This window comes from Homo sapiens, chromosome 7, assembly GCF_000001405.40.
Source record: "Homo sapiens chromosome 7, GRCh38.p14 Primary Assembly".
Taxonomy (NCBI): Eukaryota; Metazoa; Chordata; class Mammalia; order Primates; family Hominidae; genus Homo; species Homo sapiens.
In genome coordinates this window covers 144,257,663-144,273,584 of record NC_000007.14, presented here as the reverse complement: position 1 = coordinate 144,273,584, position 15,922 = coordinate 144,257,663, and the positions used below count along the sequence as shown (strand labels likewise).

The 15,922-nt window shown below is 38.2% G+C and overlaps 2 protein-coding genes, 2 long non-coding RNA genes and 1 pseudogene across 5 annotated transcripts in view; 4 read left to right on the top strand and 1 right to left on the bottom strand.

The window, feature by feature from the left end:
• The window catches only part of ARHGEF34P (Rho guanine nucleotide exchange factor 34, pseudogene), a 27,008-nt pseudogene extending 12,419 nt beyond the window's left edge, over positions 1-14,589 (top strand). The window contains exons 12-13 of the transcript NR_033942.1: positions 1,070-1,140; positions 13,953-14,589. The product of NR_033942.1 is annotated as a Rho guanine nucleotide exchange factor 34, pseudogene (transcript). The remainder of the gene's footprint in view (positions 1-1,069; positions 1,141-13,952) is intronic.
• ARHGEF35-AS1 (ARHGEF35 antisense RNA 1) overlaps positions 1-15,922 on the bottom strand; it is a 104,269-nt gene that overhangs the window by 26,005 nt on the left and 62,342 nt on the right. The window lies entirely within an intron of this gene.
• OR2A1-AS1 (OR2A1 antisense RNA 1) overlaps positions 1-15,922 on the top strand; it is a 117,146-nt gene that overhangs the window by 82,134 nt on the left and 19,090 nt on the right. The window lies entirely within an intron of this gene.
• CTAGE8 (CTAGE family member 8) lies at positions 4,297-6,911 on the top strand. Its single transcript, NM_001278507.2, has one exon. It carries the CDS (start codon positions 4,335-4,337, stop codon positions 6,666-6,668), a length of 2,334 nt encoding a protein of 777 aa, NP_001265436.1. The 5' UTR covers positions 4,297-4,334; the 3' UTR covers positions 6,669-6,911.
• OR2A7 (olfactory receptor family 2 subfamily A member 7) lies at positions 8,793-15,922 on the top strand. The gene is made up of 2 exons (NM_001005328.2): positions 8,793-8,884; positions 13,953-15,922. The coding sequence occupies exon 2, from the start codon at positions 13,957-13,959 to the stop codon at positions 14,887-14,889; it is 933 nt and encodes a 310-aa protein (NP_001005328.1). The 5' UTR covers positions 8,793-8,884; positions 13,953-13,956; the 3' UTR covers positions 14,890-15,922.

The following is a 15,922-nucleotide window of genomic DNA, read 5'->3' as shown; positions in this document are numbered from 1 at the left end:
GGGCACAGATGTGAATAAGACAAGTGCTGGGTGACTTTTACTTTCTGTGCTCCCATCTTCCAAACCAGTCCTCTATTGACCAGAAATCCATAGTGTTGAGAATGCTGATTTGCTCATGTTTTCAATAATAATAAAATAAAATACATTCACACAGACATACATTTTTGAGAGTATTAATAGTACCTATAAAATCTGGAACACAGTGCCTGCAATAATGAACATGTAAAAGCCTGTAGCTGTTATTGCTATTATAAAAGATATATGAACAGTCATTTAAAAGTTTGACGTATCTAAGTGTTTGAGGATCCCTATGTTGTAGACACTTTTTCAGTTTTGTCCCTTGGAAGATACTTCAGAGTGGGACCGATAACACCTGTTCTCATTTATTGAACAGAAGGACTAGTATCGGAGTTTGTGTGCAAAACAGCACATAAGTCAAATAATCAGGTGCAGATGCATGTTGTTGGTTTGGTGCTTTGGGCACTGTGCCTGGAACAGTAATAGTCCATTCCCAGTTACCTAGGCACAACTGGGCACAGAGGCTAACAGAATGCAGAAACCTTCAGATGATTACAAACCTAAGCTTGGATTACACCGTGCAACAACAACAAATAAAACAGTAGACATATCTCCCTGATCTAATTATTATTATGAAACAATGATCATCTCTGAGATAGTTAGTTGAAGGGAGATAGGCAAGCGAGTGTCAAGAATCATGCCAAATGATGGAGGGAATCTAAACTGAAATGAACACTTCGCTTAGCACAATTTCCAAAACAGAAAATCTCCAGACTTTATGACTAATGAACTTTACGCCCCAACTTGGAAGATATGAGAAGCCATTAGGAGGATAATTCTGGAAAGAGAAGAGGAAAAGTAAAGTGTGACAAGACACATTCACATATAGTTCAAGATTGTGTCATGTTTCCAACCAAAAAGAGTCCTATATAGTGTTTGATAGAAGTCATGGAACTAGATAAGTCCTTCCCACAGTCTTTTGCCATCCCCATCCTTGGCCCTCCTCCTACACCCCCACAATTGATGCTATGACCCTGCTTTGTTTTCTCAGAAGTGAAAAGCTTCGGTGGATCTCAGCCTTGGCCATGCCAAGAGAGGAGTTGGACCTTCTGGAGTGTTACAGTGAGTGAGGGTCTAAGAGGGAGAGAAAAGAAAGCAGGGTCAGATGTCACCTTTGGATACAGGAGTTTAAAGGGCTGGGTGGGAACTCTAGGCCAGTACAGTATTCAATAAATTACATGAAATATTCAACAGCTTACTATAATATAGGCTTTGTGTAAGATGATTTTGCCCAACTGTAGGCTAATGTTAGTGTTCTAAGCATGGTTCAGGTGGGCTAGGCTAAGCTATGATGTTTGGTAGGTTAGGTTTATTAAACATATCTTCAAGCCAGGTATAGTGGTGTGTGCCTATAGTCAGTCCCAGCTCTTCAGGAAGCTGAGGCAGGAGGATTGTTTGAGCTCAAAGACTTTGAGAATATAGTGTACTATGACTACACCTGAGAATAGCCACTGCACTCCAGCCTGGGCAACAGGACAATAGTCTATATTTTTTTAAAAAAAGCATCATCAACTTATAATATTACCAACTTATGATGGGTTTATTGGAACATAATCCTATCATAAGTTGAAGTGTATCTTTATATAGTAGAATATAGTAACATACTACAGACTTATTTTCTCAAAGCATAAAAATAAACCACACTAATGATCATCCATGGGAGAGGGACACCTAGACAATGTCCTGCAAAACGAGAAATACTGGTAAGACATACTTTACATTCCAGACTGAGTCTCTTTCACCATGAAATAAAATCATTAAGAAATTTTTAGTAATATTTTAATTATTATATTTTAATTAAAAATTTAGGTATAGAAAGAAGGTTGTATAGCTTTACATTAAAAATAAATTAGTATGTGACTTGGCTACTTGACACCAAATAGCTTGTGTCAGATTCACCCTCCCACCATAAAAAACTATACAATCTGGCCAAAATATAGAAAAAATTCTTGGCAGGTGTATTAGTCTGTTCTCATGCTGCTAATAAAGACATACCCAAGACTGGGTAATTTATAAAAGAAAGAGGTTTAGTGAACTCACAGTTCCACATGGCTGGGGAGAACTCACAATCATGATAGAAGGCAAAGGAAAAGCAAAGGCACATCTTACATGGTAGACAAGAGAGAGGGCATGTGCAGGGGAGCTCCCCTTTGTAAAACCATCAGATCTCATGAGACTTATTCACTATCACAACAACAGCATGGGAAAGACCCACCCCCATGATTCAATTACCTCTCACCAGCTGCTGAGCATGGTTCAGGTGGGCTGGCTACATGTGGGAATTATGCAAGCTACAATTCAAGATGGGATCTGCGTAAGGACACAGCCAAACCATATCAGCAGGCATTGAAGAACATTGTTGTAGCAAGTCAGGTATGAGATCTTTAAGGAAGGTGAGGCACATGAGGTTAGTACCACATTTGCCAGGATTTTCCAGAAAGGCATCTTCCTGACCTTGGTACAGGAAAATGGGACCCAACCAGGGGTTAATGGTCTTGGGAACCAAAAGAAGCAATGAATAGAGTTCAAAGCTGCTAAATTGGTTAGGAATTGGGGGTCAATGTACCATATGGGAGAGAGAAAGAACCTAGAAATGGGTGTATACATGCCATTTTGGTCCTTCTGTGACTCCTTAGCTATGTGACAGTTGGCTAAGAAGAGGGGAGACCTTGGAGAAAGAAACTGCTGGGATACAGAAAGCAGAAGAGATCATCAGGGACTGAAAACTTCCTGGAAAGCTACTGGAGTTCAGATCCAGCCAAATGGGGAAATGTTGGCAAACAACTGAGAAACTCAGTTGGGACTCTAAAAATTCTCTTAGGAGAGATGCAGTATCCCAGGAGTGAGGCATATGTTCTAAGAGGAAAATAAAATATAATTACCATAACACAGCTTAAAACTAGATCTTGAGAGCAGCAAGATGATCTGCAAGTAATTACAAATTCTGCCCAGAAAAAAAATTCAAAATTCTTGAGTAGTTCTATATCATATTATCCATAAATTCAGCATACTTTAAAAAAAATACCAAATATACAAAAAAGCAAGTAAAACAGACTGATAAGAAATAAATCAGTTATTAAAAACAAACTCATAGATAATCCAGATATTGGAGTTAACAGATAGGGCATCATAACATCTATGATGAATATAAAGGAAAGAAAGAAAAAATGAAAGACAAAACAGGTTGTGTCAGATTTCTTTCTGGAAGCTTTAAAATGCTCACTTTATTTTCATAGATTCTAATTTCCTAAATTATGTTTGATGTTTCAAGCAAAAATCATAGCATTGTCTAGTGTTATTCTAAATGGATGTAAGACAATTATACTACAAATTTGATAGAGTAAAGAGACATAATATGACAGAAGGTTGCTATACTTCACTCAGACTGGAATAAAGATGATACCAATTGACTGTGATAATGTTTATATAAATGAATATACACTAAGCTGTAAAATGCAACCACTAAGCTATAAAATGCAACCAAAAAAACTATAAAAAAGAAGATACACTATAAACACTATAAATAACAAAATGGAATTCTAAAACAAATGTTCAAGTAACCCACATGAAGTCATGAAAAATAAGCAGAGAAACAAGAATTGATAGAGAAAACAAAAAATGTCAGGCTTACGCATTAAAGTATCAATAATTCATTTAATTATGAATGGTCTACCAAGAGATAGATAATAGAAGAGTGTATTTAAAAGTATGACCCTTTCTTATATGTTTCTTGTATGCTGTGTACAAGAAACTCACTTGAATTTTACCAATACAGGGCAGGCCAAATTAACAGGATGAAAAAAGATATATTACACAAACATTAATGAAAGGAAAGCAAGAGTGTCTGTGTGCATATCAGATAAAGCAAAGAAAACTACCAAAACCAGAGATTATATAATGATCAAAGGTTTAATCCATGAAGAAGACAGCAATTTTAAAAGTGTATTCACCAAAAAATAAAGCTTCAAAATATGTGATGTGAAAACTGCCAGAACTAAGGCGGGCCGGGCTCAGACCAGCGCTGCCTCAGGATGTGAAGTGTAACAAGAGGGCCAGGGGAGGTGGTGGGGGACAACATGGGCCTGTGAGGCCTGTGGGTGCCCGCGTTCCCCAGCTCCCCCCGCAGCCCGCTCCACAGTGGTCCGCTCCGGTTGGTTGTCACGTGCGCATTCGGGTTCCAGACCCAAGGCTGCGTGTTCTCCACCGCTTGTTGTGGCCAGTGTTACTGCGGTGACCGCCAGAGCAGCCTCGACGCTATGGAGGAGCCTGGTGCTACCCCTCAGCCCTACCTGGGGCTGGTCCTGGAGGAGCTACGCAGAGTTGTGGCAGCACTACCTGAGAGTATGAGACCAGATGAGAATCCTTATGGTTTTCCATCGGAACTGGTGGTATGTGCAGCTGTTATTGGATTTTTTGTTGTTCTCCTTTTTTTGTGGAGAAGTTTTAGATCGGTTAGGAGTCGGCTTTACGTGGGAAGAGAGCAAAAACTTGGTGCAACGCTTTCTGGACTAATTGAAGAAAAATGTAAACTACTTGAAAAGTTTAGCCTTATTCAAAAAGAGTATGAAGGCTATGAAGTAGAGTCATCTTTAGAGGATGCCAGCTTTGAGAAGGCGGCAGCAGAAGAAGCACGAAGTTTGGAGGCAACCTGTGAAAAGCTGAACAGGTCCAATTCTGAACTTGAGGATGAAATCCTCTGTCTAGAAAAAGACTTAAAAGAAGAGAAATCTAAACATTCTCAACAAGATGAATTGATGGCGGATATTTCAAAAAGTATACAGTCTCTAGAAGATGAGTCAAAATCCCTCAAATCACAAATAGCTGAAGCCAAAATCATCTGCAAGACATTTAAAATGAGTGAAGAACGACGGGCTATAGCAATAAAAGATGCTTTGAATGAAAATTCTCAACTTCAGACAAGCCATAAACAGCTTTTTCAGCAAGAAGCTGAAGTATGGAAAGGACAAGTGAGTGAACTTAATAAACAGAAAATAACATTTGAAGACTCCAAAGTGCACGCAGAACAAGTTCTGAATGATAAAGAAAATCACATCAAGACCCTGACTGGACACTTGCCAATGATGAAAGATCAGGCTGCTGTGCTTGAAGAAGACACAACGGATGATGATAACCTGGAATTAGAAGTGAACAGTCAATGGGAAAATGGTGCTAACTTAGATGATCCTCTGAAAGGAGCTTTGAAGAAACTGATTCATGCTGCTAAGTTAAATGTTTCTTTAAAAAGCTTAGAAGGAGAAAGAAACCACATTATTATTCAGTTATCTGAAGTGGACAAAACAAAGGAAGAGCTTACAGAGCATATTAAAAATCTTCAGACTCAACAAGCATCTTTGCAATCAGAAAACATATATTTTGAAAGTGAGAATCAGAAGCTTCAACAGAAACTTAAAATAATGACTGAATTCTATCAAGAAAATGAAATGAAACTCTACAGGAAATTAACAGTGGAGGAAAATTACCGAATAGAGGAAGAAGAGAAGCTTTCTAGAGTGGAAGAAAAGATCAGCCGTGCCACTGAAGGGCTGGAGACCTATAGAAAGCTAGCCAAAGATCTTGAAGAAGAATTGGAGAGAACTGTTCATTTTTATCAAAAGCAGGTTATTTCCTACGAGAAAAGAGGACATGATAATTGGTTGGCAGCTCGGACTGCTGAAAGAAACCTCAGTGATTTAAGGAAAGAAAATGCTCACAACAAACAAAAATTAACTGAAACAGAGTTGAAATTTGAACTTTTAGAAAAAGATCCTAATGCACTCGATGTTTCAAATACAGCATTTGGCAGAGAGCATTCCCCATGTAGTCCCTCACCATTGGGTCGGCCTTCATCTGAAACGAGAGCTTTTCCCTCTCCTCAAACTTTGTTGGAGGATCCACTCAGACTCTCACCTGTGCTTCCAGGGGGAGGAGGAAGAGGCCCAAGCAGCCCAGGGAATCCCCTGGACCATCAGATTACCAATGAAAGAGGAGAACCAAGCTATGACAGGTTAATCGATCCTCACAGGGCTCCTTCTGACACTGGGTCCCTGTCATCTCCGGTGGAACAGGACCGTAGGATGATGTTTCCTCCACCAGGGCAATCATATCCTGATTCAACTCTTCCTCCACAAAGGGAAGACAGATTTTATTCTAATTCTGAAAGACTGTCTGGACCAGCAGAACCCAGAAGTTTTAAAATGACTTCTTTGGATAAAATGGATAGGTCAATGCCTTCAGAAATGGAATCCAGTAGAAATGATGCCAAAGATGATCTTGGTAATTTAAATGTGCCTGATTCATCTCTCCCTGCTGAAAATGAAGCAACTGGCCCTGGCTTTATTCCTCCACCTCTTGCTCCAGTCAGAGGACCATTGTTTCCAGTGGATACAAGGGGCCCGTTCATGAGAAGAGGACCTCCTTTCCCCCCACCTCCTCCAGGAACCATGTTTGGAGCTTCTCGAGGTTATTTTCCACCAAGGGATTTCCCAGGTCCACCACATGCTCCATTTGCAATGAGAAACATCTATCCACCGAGGGGTTTACCTCCTTACCTTCATCCGAGACCTGGATTTTACCCCAACCCCACATTCTGAAGGTAGAAGCGAGTTCCCTTCAGGATTGATTCCGCCTTCAAAGGAGCCTGCTACTGGACATCCAGAACCACAGCAAGAAACCTGACAATATTGTTGCTTTCTTCAAAAGTAATTTTGACTGATCTCATTTTCAGTTTAAGTAACTGCTGTTACTTAAGTGATTGCACTTTTCTCAAATTGAAGTTTAATGGAATAATAGTTCTCAGGATAGTATTTCGTAAATAAAGATGGTTTGAATATGAATCTTATGAGTAAATCATTTCCATTTTATTATATTCTAGATCATATAACTTTTAACTTGGTGAACTAATCCACTCTTAGAGAAACAATAGTGGGAGTTTTATATATGTAATCTTGCAGGTGAGGAGGCTTTAAATTCTAAAGGTTGTGGTGTCTTCATGCCAAGAACTGTATTCACTGTGGTTGTAGATAAATGTGAAAGTAACTTTATGCTTAATTTAATAAATTTTCATTGATTTTTTTAAAAAAAGAAAACTGAAAGGAGATATAGATGAATCCACAATTATAGTTAGAAATTTCCTCATGCCTTTTTCAATAATTGATAGAACTAGACAGAAAATCAGCAAGGAGTGTTGGCTTTGGCAGCACTTTCTAAAATCAGAATGATGCCAACAAGATTAAAACGGTTCTTGAATATAGATTACACAAAATTTTGTGAAGCATTTCATGTTTTTAAAAAGAGGAAAAAAAAGAAAATCAACAAGAATATAAAACAACTCAAAATGCCATTAACCAAAAGAATCTATTTGGCATTTACAGAATATTCCACACAGTAACAGCAGAATACACATATTTTTTTTGAGTGCTGACGAAACACATGGCAAGATAGAGCTGTCCTAGGCCCTAAAACTCGCCACAACAAATTTAAAAGAGATAGTAATCATCCAGAGCAGATGAAAACCAGAAATCATTGTAGGGAATCCAATTGGAAATCAGCATAAGAAAGATATGAAAATCCCTAAACATTTGGAAATTTAAAAACACACTTCACAATAATCTATCAGTCAAAGAAGTCTCAAGGAAAAATTTAAAAATACATTGAACTGGATAAACATGAAACTGTGACATATCAAAGTACTGAGAAGGAAACTTAGAGCAATAAATGCACGCATTAGTAAAGAGGAAAAGTCTCTAGTGAGCAATAGATTTCCACCTCAGGAACCTAGAAAAAGAAGAGCAGAATAAACTCAAAGCAAGTAGAGGGTGGGGATTAATGAAGATAAGAACAGAAAACACTTACATTTACAAGAGAAAAACAATGGTTAAATCAATGAAACAAAGAGATAGCTATGTTAAAAGATTAATAAAATTTAGCAAACTCAAGCATAAATTAAAAGGAAAAAACAAATTTTAAATATCATAATGAAACAGGCGATATCACTACAGACATAAACACACATAAAAAAGGACTATCAAGGAATATTACAAACAACTCCACACACATAAATTAGACAATAGACAAAATGGACAAAATGCAGTGTTCCTCCTGCAACACAAACTAACTCAACTCACCAGGCATGAATAGATCATTTGAATAACTCTATAACCATTAAGAAAATAGAATTCATAATTTTAAAACTACCAATAAATAAATATTTATGCTTAGATGGTTTAACTGGAGAATTCTAACATGTTTTTAAAAAGTTAACACCAATTCTACACAATCTTTTCCAGAAAACAGTAAAAGAGAGAGCATTTCCCAATTTATTTTTTGAAGCTATTATTACAGTGATACCAAAACCAGGAGAGAGAGAGAGAGTGTGTGTGTGTGTCACACACACACACATATATACATATATATATATAAAGATATGTATAACTTACTTGATAAATAGAGTTCTATAGTATATTTTTCAAAATTTACCCATGTCCAGCGGGGGATTGTTTCCAGAAAAACAGACCTGATTAAATCTCAAAAAGTCAATCAAAATAATCCACCATGTTAACAAACAAAAGAAGGAAAGTTACATTATATCAGTTGATGCATAATAAACATTTAACACATTTCGATATCCATTCATGATAAAAGCTCTCTATAAAGCAGGAATAGAGGAAACTTCATCCACTTGATAAAAAGCATCTACAAAAAGCTAACACTATACAATCACGTGTTGTTTAATGATGCGGATACGTTCTGAGAAATGTGCGGTCAAGTGATTCTGACATTGTGTGAACATCCAGAAAGGACTTCACGGGTAAGAGCATGCATGAGGCTGTCGTCTCCTATGATAGCAATGCCTTCTTCTGGAATACCTCTTGATGGACTTGCCTGAGACTGTTTAGCAGTTAACTTTTTTTAATAAGTAAAAGGAGTGCACTCTAAAATAATGACAAAGGCCAGGCACAGTGGCTCACACCTGTAATCTCAGTACTTTGGGAGGCTGAGGTAGGCAGATCATCTGCAGTCAGGAGTTCAAGAAAACGCTGACCAACATGGTGAAACCCCATCTCTACCAAGAATATAAAAAATTAGCCAAGCATGATGTTGCACACCTATAATCTCAGCTACTTGGGATGCTGAGACACAAGAATCACTTCAACCCAGGAGGCAGAGGTTTCAGTGAACTGAGATTGCACCACTGCACTCCAGCCTGGGCAACAGAACAAGACTCCACCTCCAAAATAAAATAAAATAAAATAATGACAAAAAGTTTAGTAGAGTGTAGTAAATGCATAGTAAAATACATAGTTGTTTGCTTTTAACCACGCTGGGAGTGCAGTAGGATTGTTTACAGCAGCAATCCCACAAACATGTAAGTAATGCATTGTGCTACAATATTATTACGGCTATGACATCAGTTGGCAATATGATTTTTTCACCCCCATTATAATCTTGTGGGACCACTCTCATATATGCAGTCCATCACCGACCAAAGTGTTATGTAGGACATAGCTATACTAACATCATATTTAGTGGTGAAAAACTGAATGGTTCCTCTCTAAAATCAAGAATAAAGGAACTATGTCTGCTTTTATCACCCTTATGCAAAACAGTGCTAGAAGTTATACACTGCAATAAGACAAGAAAATAATTAAAGGACATACAGATCAGAATGGAAAAAATAGAACAGTCCCTACTTACAACAGACATGACTTTCTACATAGAAATCCAAATAAATCTATTTTACAAACCTCCTTAAATTAAGAAGTGAGTCCATTAAGGTCACAGAATTTAAGATAAACACAATCAAATTAATTCCATTTCTATATACAGACATAACTCATTTTATCGTTCTGCAATTTATTGTGCTTCATAGATATTGCATTTCCATTGTGTTAAAATTTTGTGGCTAACCTGCCTCAAGCAAGTCTATCTGCACCATTTTTCCAACAGCATGATCTCATTTTGTGTCCTAGGTCAAATTTTAATAATCTGTACAGTATTTTAAATGGGTTTATTATTATTGTCTGCTATGATGATCTGTGATAGGTGATCTTTGATGTTACTATTGTAATTATTTTAGGGCAGCATAAGCACGTCCACATAAGACAGCAAACTTAATTGATAAATGTTGTGTGTGTTCTGACTGCTCCACCGACAGGCCATTTCCCTCTCTCTCTTCCTCTTCTGGCCTCCCTAGTCCCTGAGACACAACAATGTTGAAGCTAAGCCAATTAACCACCCTATAATGTCCTCTAAATGTTCAAGTGAACGTCATTAAATTAAAAGCTAGAAATTATTAAGCTAAGTGAGAAAGGCATGCCAAGTAAGTATAAATCCGGAGTTGTCCAACTTGAGCTGAAGTGCTATTAGATCTACCAAGTCATAAGACTGAATGGTCACTGCAACCATCTATCCTATAATGGATGCAATATGTTTTAGGGCAAGAGAAAATGCAAAAGACAAAAGTAGGCTGAATGAACAGTTGGCCCAGATCCCTATATCACTGATGCCTCTCTCTCAGCTTATACATACAGTCTCCTAGGTCCTTCCAACCAGCTGATACCTTAGTAAACAAGCCAGGCCTAATGCAAGGGCACTTTGGCTAGGTATATTGGCACAATATGTCAACCACTCAGATGTGGGACCTCAAATATAATCCATGAGGGTAAACCTACTCTGATAAGTAGAATACATAGATTCATCGCCATCCATAGAAAGGGTTCAGAAAACAGGAGCTGGCCCTGTGCTTTTACAGAGCTTTATCCTTCCCATAAGGGCAGGACCAGATATTATCAAAAAAAAAAAAGAAAATTTTCAAAAGTAAATTTTGCTCAATCCTTATGCCTTATCCATTCTTCTTCTAGACAGGTCAATGAGCCCCACAGATTATTTAAAATGAATCTCCAACATCTACAGATTGGTGCTTAAAAATAAAGTGTCTGAGTTTCTATGTAAAATGACCTAATGATTAAGACCTTGGAATTCAAGTTTATTCTCCCAACAGCTTTTGGGTATTTGGGAAAGCAGACTACACTAAAAGAAATGACTGCAGGAATTAATGTCAAGGTTTTATTTTAACCGCCAAACAAACCTAGACATGGATCTTTGCATCTCCCAAGTGTTTTCTGAATGTTTGGGGAAGGAATAGCATAAATATTCATGAAACTCTAACAAATTCACATATTTTGGTAGCTGTGATAGCCACGTGGTCCCAGGATATTACTTTAGATAATATATGTATCCTTTCAGTTACAAAGGCATTTTCTGTTCTTGCCTTAGTCTCATTCTCTTTATCACTGTGGCTTCCTCAGAGACAGAATGAGACAGAAGCTCAATTCTCTGCCCCTAGAAGAATAACAGTGGTTGGGTTCTTCATGTCTCTATGGAAATCATGCTGGTGCAAGTGAAGCCTATTTTCTCATGCGTCACACAAAGCTCTCATGATAATTGGAAGGTACTCTGTGGAGGTGATGACTTAATAACACCTTCCCTTCTCAAAAGCACTTGAAGAAGCAAGATCCTTCCTTGGCATTTCTCAGATGGGCAGCAGAGTTCCCAGCACCATCAGTAAACTCAGCCACACTGTAGAAATGTTTGCCTTTTCTATATGAAGATTATCTAGGTTCTTACACAGCAGTCATCTCTAGACACCTGGATTTCCTAACTGCCTTTGTGAGTTCTGGTCAAATATAATTTAAGGTCATTTTCATTGCTTGTTTGCTTTTACCGTCACACTTTAATATCATGCAAAAGTACATTTCTACTCTCTTAATGCTCAAATTTTGCTCACCAATAGTTTTAGATAATAGGATAATATGACTAAAATATATTAATAGATATCAGCATATTATCTATCAGTATATTAATATATTAAAGCAATCAATATGTTAATGGTTATTTTGGCTGGTAGCTTTTTTTAAGTTCAAGAAATATCTGTGTGCAACTGACTCTGGTAAATGTTCAACGTTAACAAAAAAGACCAGCACTTTTTTTCTTTAAAATTTTTTTTTCATATAATTACTATTTTAAAAATTTTTTAAAAGAGATGAGGTCTCTATGCTGCCCAGGCTGGTTTCAAATGCCTGGGTTCCAGCGAACCTCCTTCCTCAGCCTCCCAAAGTGCTTAGATTACAGGCATGAGACACCAAGCATAGCCCAGCACTTAATTTTTAAAAAGGCTTAAAGTGTCACATACAGAAGCTCATTAAGTTAACAAGTGTACAGATGCTTGTTTACTTATTACGCACAATCTTACGAGGCCACACAATCTGAGCGATGATTAGGAGCTCAAAGTTTAGATCCAATCTCAGGACAACATGAAATAAATGACAAGAAATCAATAAATAACTAAATTATTTTATTTTTTCAACATGAGCATAATACTTATCCTTGGAATGGTGGTAGGAAAAATCCAATGCAAATGAAATACTTTTTAGTCGGTTTTGCAGGATTAAATTTATAATTTTATGGACATTTAAATGGAGGATTATTGCTCATCCTTCCTATCTCCAAGACAATATAATTTTACATAAAAAATGAGAATAAAATTTAAGCAAAAATGACAATATCATGCTTATGCTAACATTTTAATTGTGGGATCAAGGAGGCCTGAGTTCAATCAGAGAATTCAGAGACTCTTTCTGCAGCATTCCTCATAAATTCATCGAACTATTGCCAATCACCTGCATAGACAATGCTTAAAACTGTGTATTCTAGAGTGTTTATCAATAGTAAGCCCAAATCCAACAAAAGTTACTGATCCTGTTTTCGTGTTTAGATAATGACACGGTGCAAATCTATTCAGTCATTCACATAAATGCTCATCTAAACATTGTGGGAAAGTAAATAACAAAAAATAAGGTTCTGGGCTAAAAAATAAGTCTTTACACTTGGATAAGAAAAGATTTTGTGAGATATTTGCTGTGGAGGTGATGATCAGTGCAAGAGTGGAAAGTTTAAGAGGTGAATGACCACTGGTGTATTTGGCTGATGGTATGTCGAACCTTAGTATAGCCCGCCCTTAATTAAACCTTCCACTTTAAGATTAAACTTAATGTGGTTTTAAGACTTTGACATGTGTATCAGTTAGTGTTCATTGTTTCTGAAACATAGCAGAGAAAAACTCTGAATAATACGACCAAGGAAAAGAAGAATTTATTTGAAGGATATGAGATAGCTCACTGAATCAAACAAAAACTGTGTACTACATTGACATGTGACATTCATCCCTGAAAGGCCTGAGCCAAATTTTTTTTAAAAAAAGACCAAAAGGATATATTAATATGTGACACGTTTATTTTTAAATTTTAGCCTTTATTAAAAAATTAACGTAATAAAAAAGAAACCTATGTATACGTGTGCATGCGTTTTTTTTCCTTTTCTTTTTTTTTTTTTTTTTTTCTGGAGACAGAGTCTGGCTCTGTCACCCAGGCTGGAATGCAGTGTTGTGATCTCGGCTCACTGCAAGCTCCGCCTCCTGGGATCAAGCAATTCTCCTGCCTCAGCCTCCCGAGTAGCTGGGACTACAGGTACACGCCGCCACGCCGGGCTAATTTTTTGTATTTTTAGTAGAAATGGGGTTTCACCGTGTTGTCAATGCTGGTCTCGAACTCCTGAGCTCAGGCAATCCGCCCGCCTCGGCCTCCCAAAGTGCTGGGATTACAGGCGTGAGCTACCGCACCCGGCCTGCATATATTTTTTAAACATTTATTTTAGCGTTACCAAATTGTCTTGAAGCATTCATTTAAAAACACAAAAACTCACTGCAGCTGTCTGAACACTTTTCTACTTCACCAAAGAGTGCCGAACAAGTTAAAATGAATCTGTTTTTAAACACTTCTCCTAAACCATGAGCATTAACTTGATTTCCTCTGTCATAGGGATATGGGGGACAATATAACATCCATCACAGAGTTCCTCCTACTGGGATTTCCCGTTGGCCCAAGGATTCAGATGCTCCTCTTTGGGCTCTTCTCCCTGTTCTACGTCTTCACCCTGCTGGGGAACGGGACCATACTGGGGCTCATCTCACTGGACTCCAGACTGCACGCCCCCATGTACTTCTTCCTCTCACACCTGGCGGTCGTCGACATCGCCTACGCCTGCAACACGGTGCCCCGGATGCTGGTGAACCTCCTGCATCCAGCCAAGCCCATCTCCTTTGCGGGCCGCATGATGCAGACCTTTCTGTTTTCCACTTTTGCTGTCACAGAATGTCTCCTCCTGGTGGTGATGTCCTATGATCTGTACGTGGCCATCTGCCACCCCCTCCGATATTTGGCCATCATGACCTGGAGAGTCTGCATCACCCTCGCGGTGACTTCCTGGACCACTGGAGTCCTTTTATCCTTGATTCATCTTGTGTTACTTCTACCTTTACCCTTCTGTAGGCCCCAGAAAATTTATCACTTTTTTTGTGAAATCTTGGCTGTTCTCAAACTTGCCTGTGCAGATACCCACATCAATGAGAACATGGTCTTGGCCGGAGCAATTTCTGGGCTGGTGGGACCCTTGTCCACAATTGTAGTTTCATATATGTGCATCCTCTGTGCTATCCTTCAGATCCAATCAAGGGAAGTTCAGAGGAAAGCCTTCTGCACCTGCTTCTCCCACCTCTGTGTGATTGGACTCTTTTATGGCACAGCCATTATCATGTATGTTGGACCCAGATATGGGAACCCCAAGGAGCAGAAGAAATATCTCCTGCTGTTTCACAGCCTCTTTAATCCCATGCTCAATCCCCTTATCTGTAGTCTTAGGAACTCAGAAGTGAAGAATACTTTGAAGAGAGTGCTGGGAGTAGAAAGGGCTTTATGAAAAGGATTATGGCATTGTGACTGACAGTGACCTAGGAAGTTACATCATTGAGCGGTTCTTAACCCATCTCTGCACTGGTGGGACCTCTGCCCTCAATGGACATGAGAATTATCTGAGACATTTATTTAAAATGGAGCTATCTCCTGCCCTACCTTTAAATGACTGATTTCAGCAGATGTGGGATGAAATTCTAGAAATTGATCTCTTCAAGTTGTGCTGCAGCCACTCCACACCAGGACAATACCCCTTACAATATCCTCATTAGCTTTTGATCCAGTCCCATACCTCCCATAATGTTTTCCTCAAAACACTGGTCCCTTCAGAGGACTTTAAAAATAAGTTCTATAGTCAAATAAGTTTGAGACTTACTTCACATCAGATGCCTCTGTCTAGGGATCACAATTCATATTAGCATAGTGAATGCTGTAAATATTTCTCTAGGAAAGAATAATTCTATACCAGCTTTAAGCCAGTGTTTTCTAAACTTATGTGAGCACATAAAATTTCCTTTGTAATACTTAGTAACAGTTTCCTGGAACAGGAGATCTTGATATTAATTGACTCATTGTGAATACTTCCTACAGCCCCCTTCTAGGGCAGAATGATTTCTTTTTTCCTTGCAAAGTGAGCCTCTAAAGAGATGTAGTTCTGAGCATTATGCCTCGATCAGTCTGTAAAAATCCGGGTTCTGTTTGGATACAGACCGTGAGGGACCCTGTCTCTACTGTTCAATGGTAGATCATCTAAAGAAAATAAATGCAATCCTGTCCTTCATCATGGATCGGCATTCCTGCTATAGAAGCTTCAGGAGATGACCTCATTCAACCTCACAATCTTCTAAATTTGAGATTTTTAAGAAATATGATTCAGTATACATCTGCCTGTGTTTGCCGCTGAATGAAATCAATCTAATTTTTCTAATTCAGGGTTTTCAAGATAAACCCAGATTTCTCAAGAAAGAAAAATCTAGAAAGATTTCAAAATCCACCACCTACACACTTAAAAGTTGTAGCAGCTTCTTATGCCATGGGAA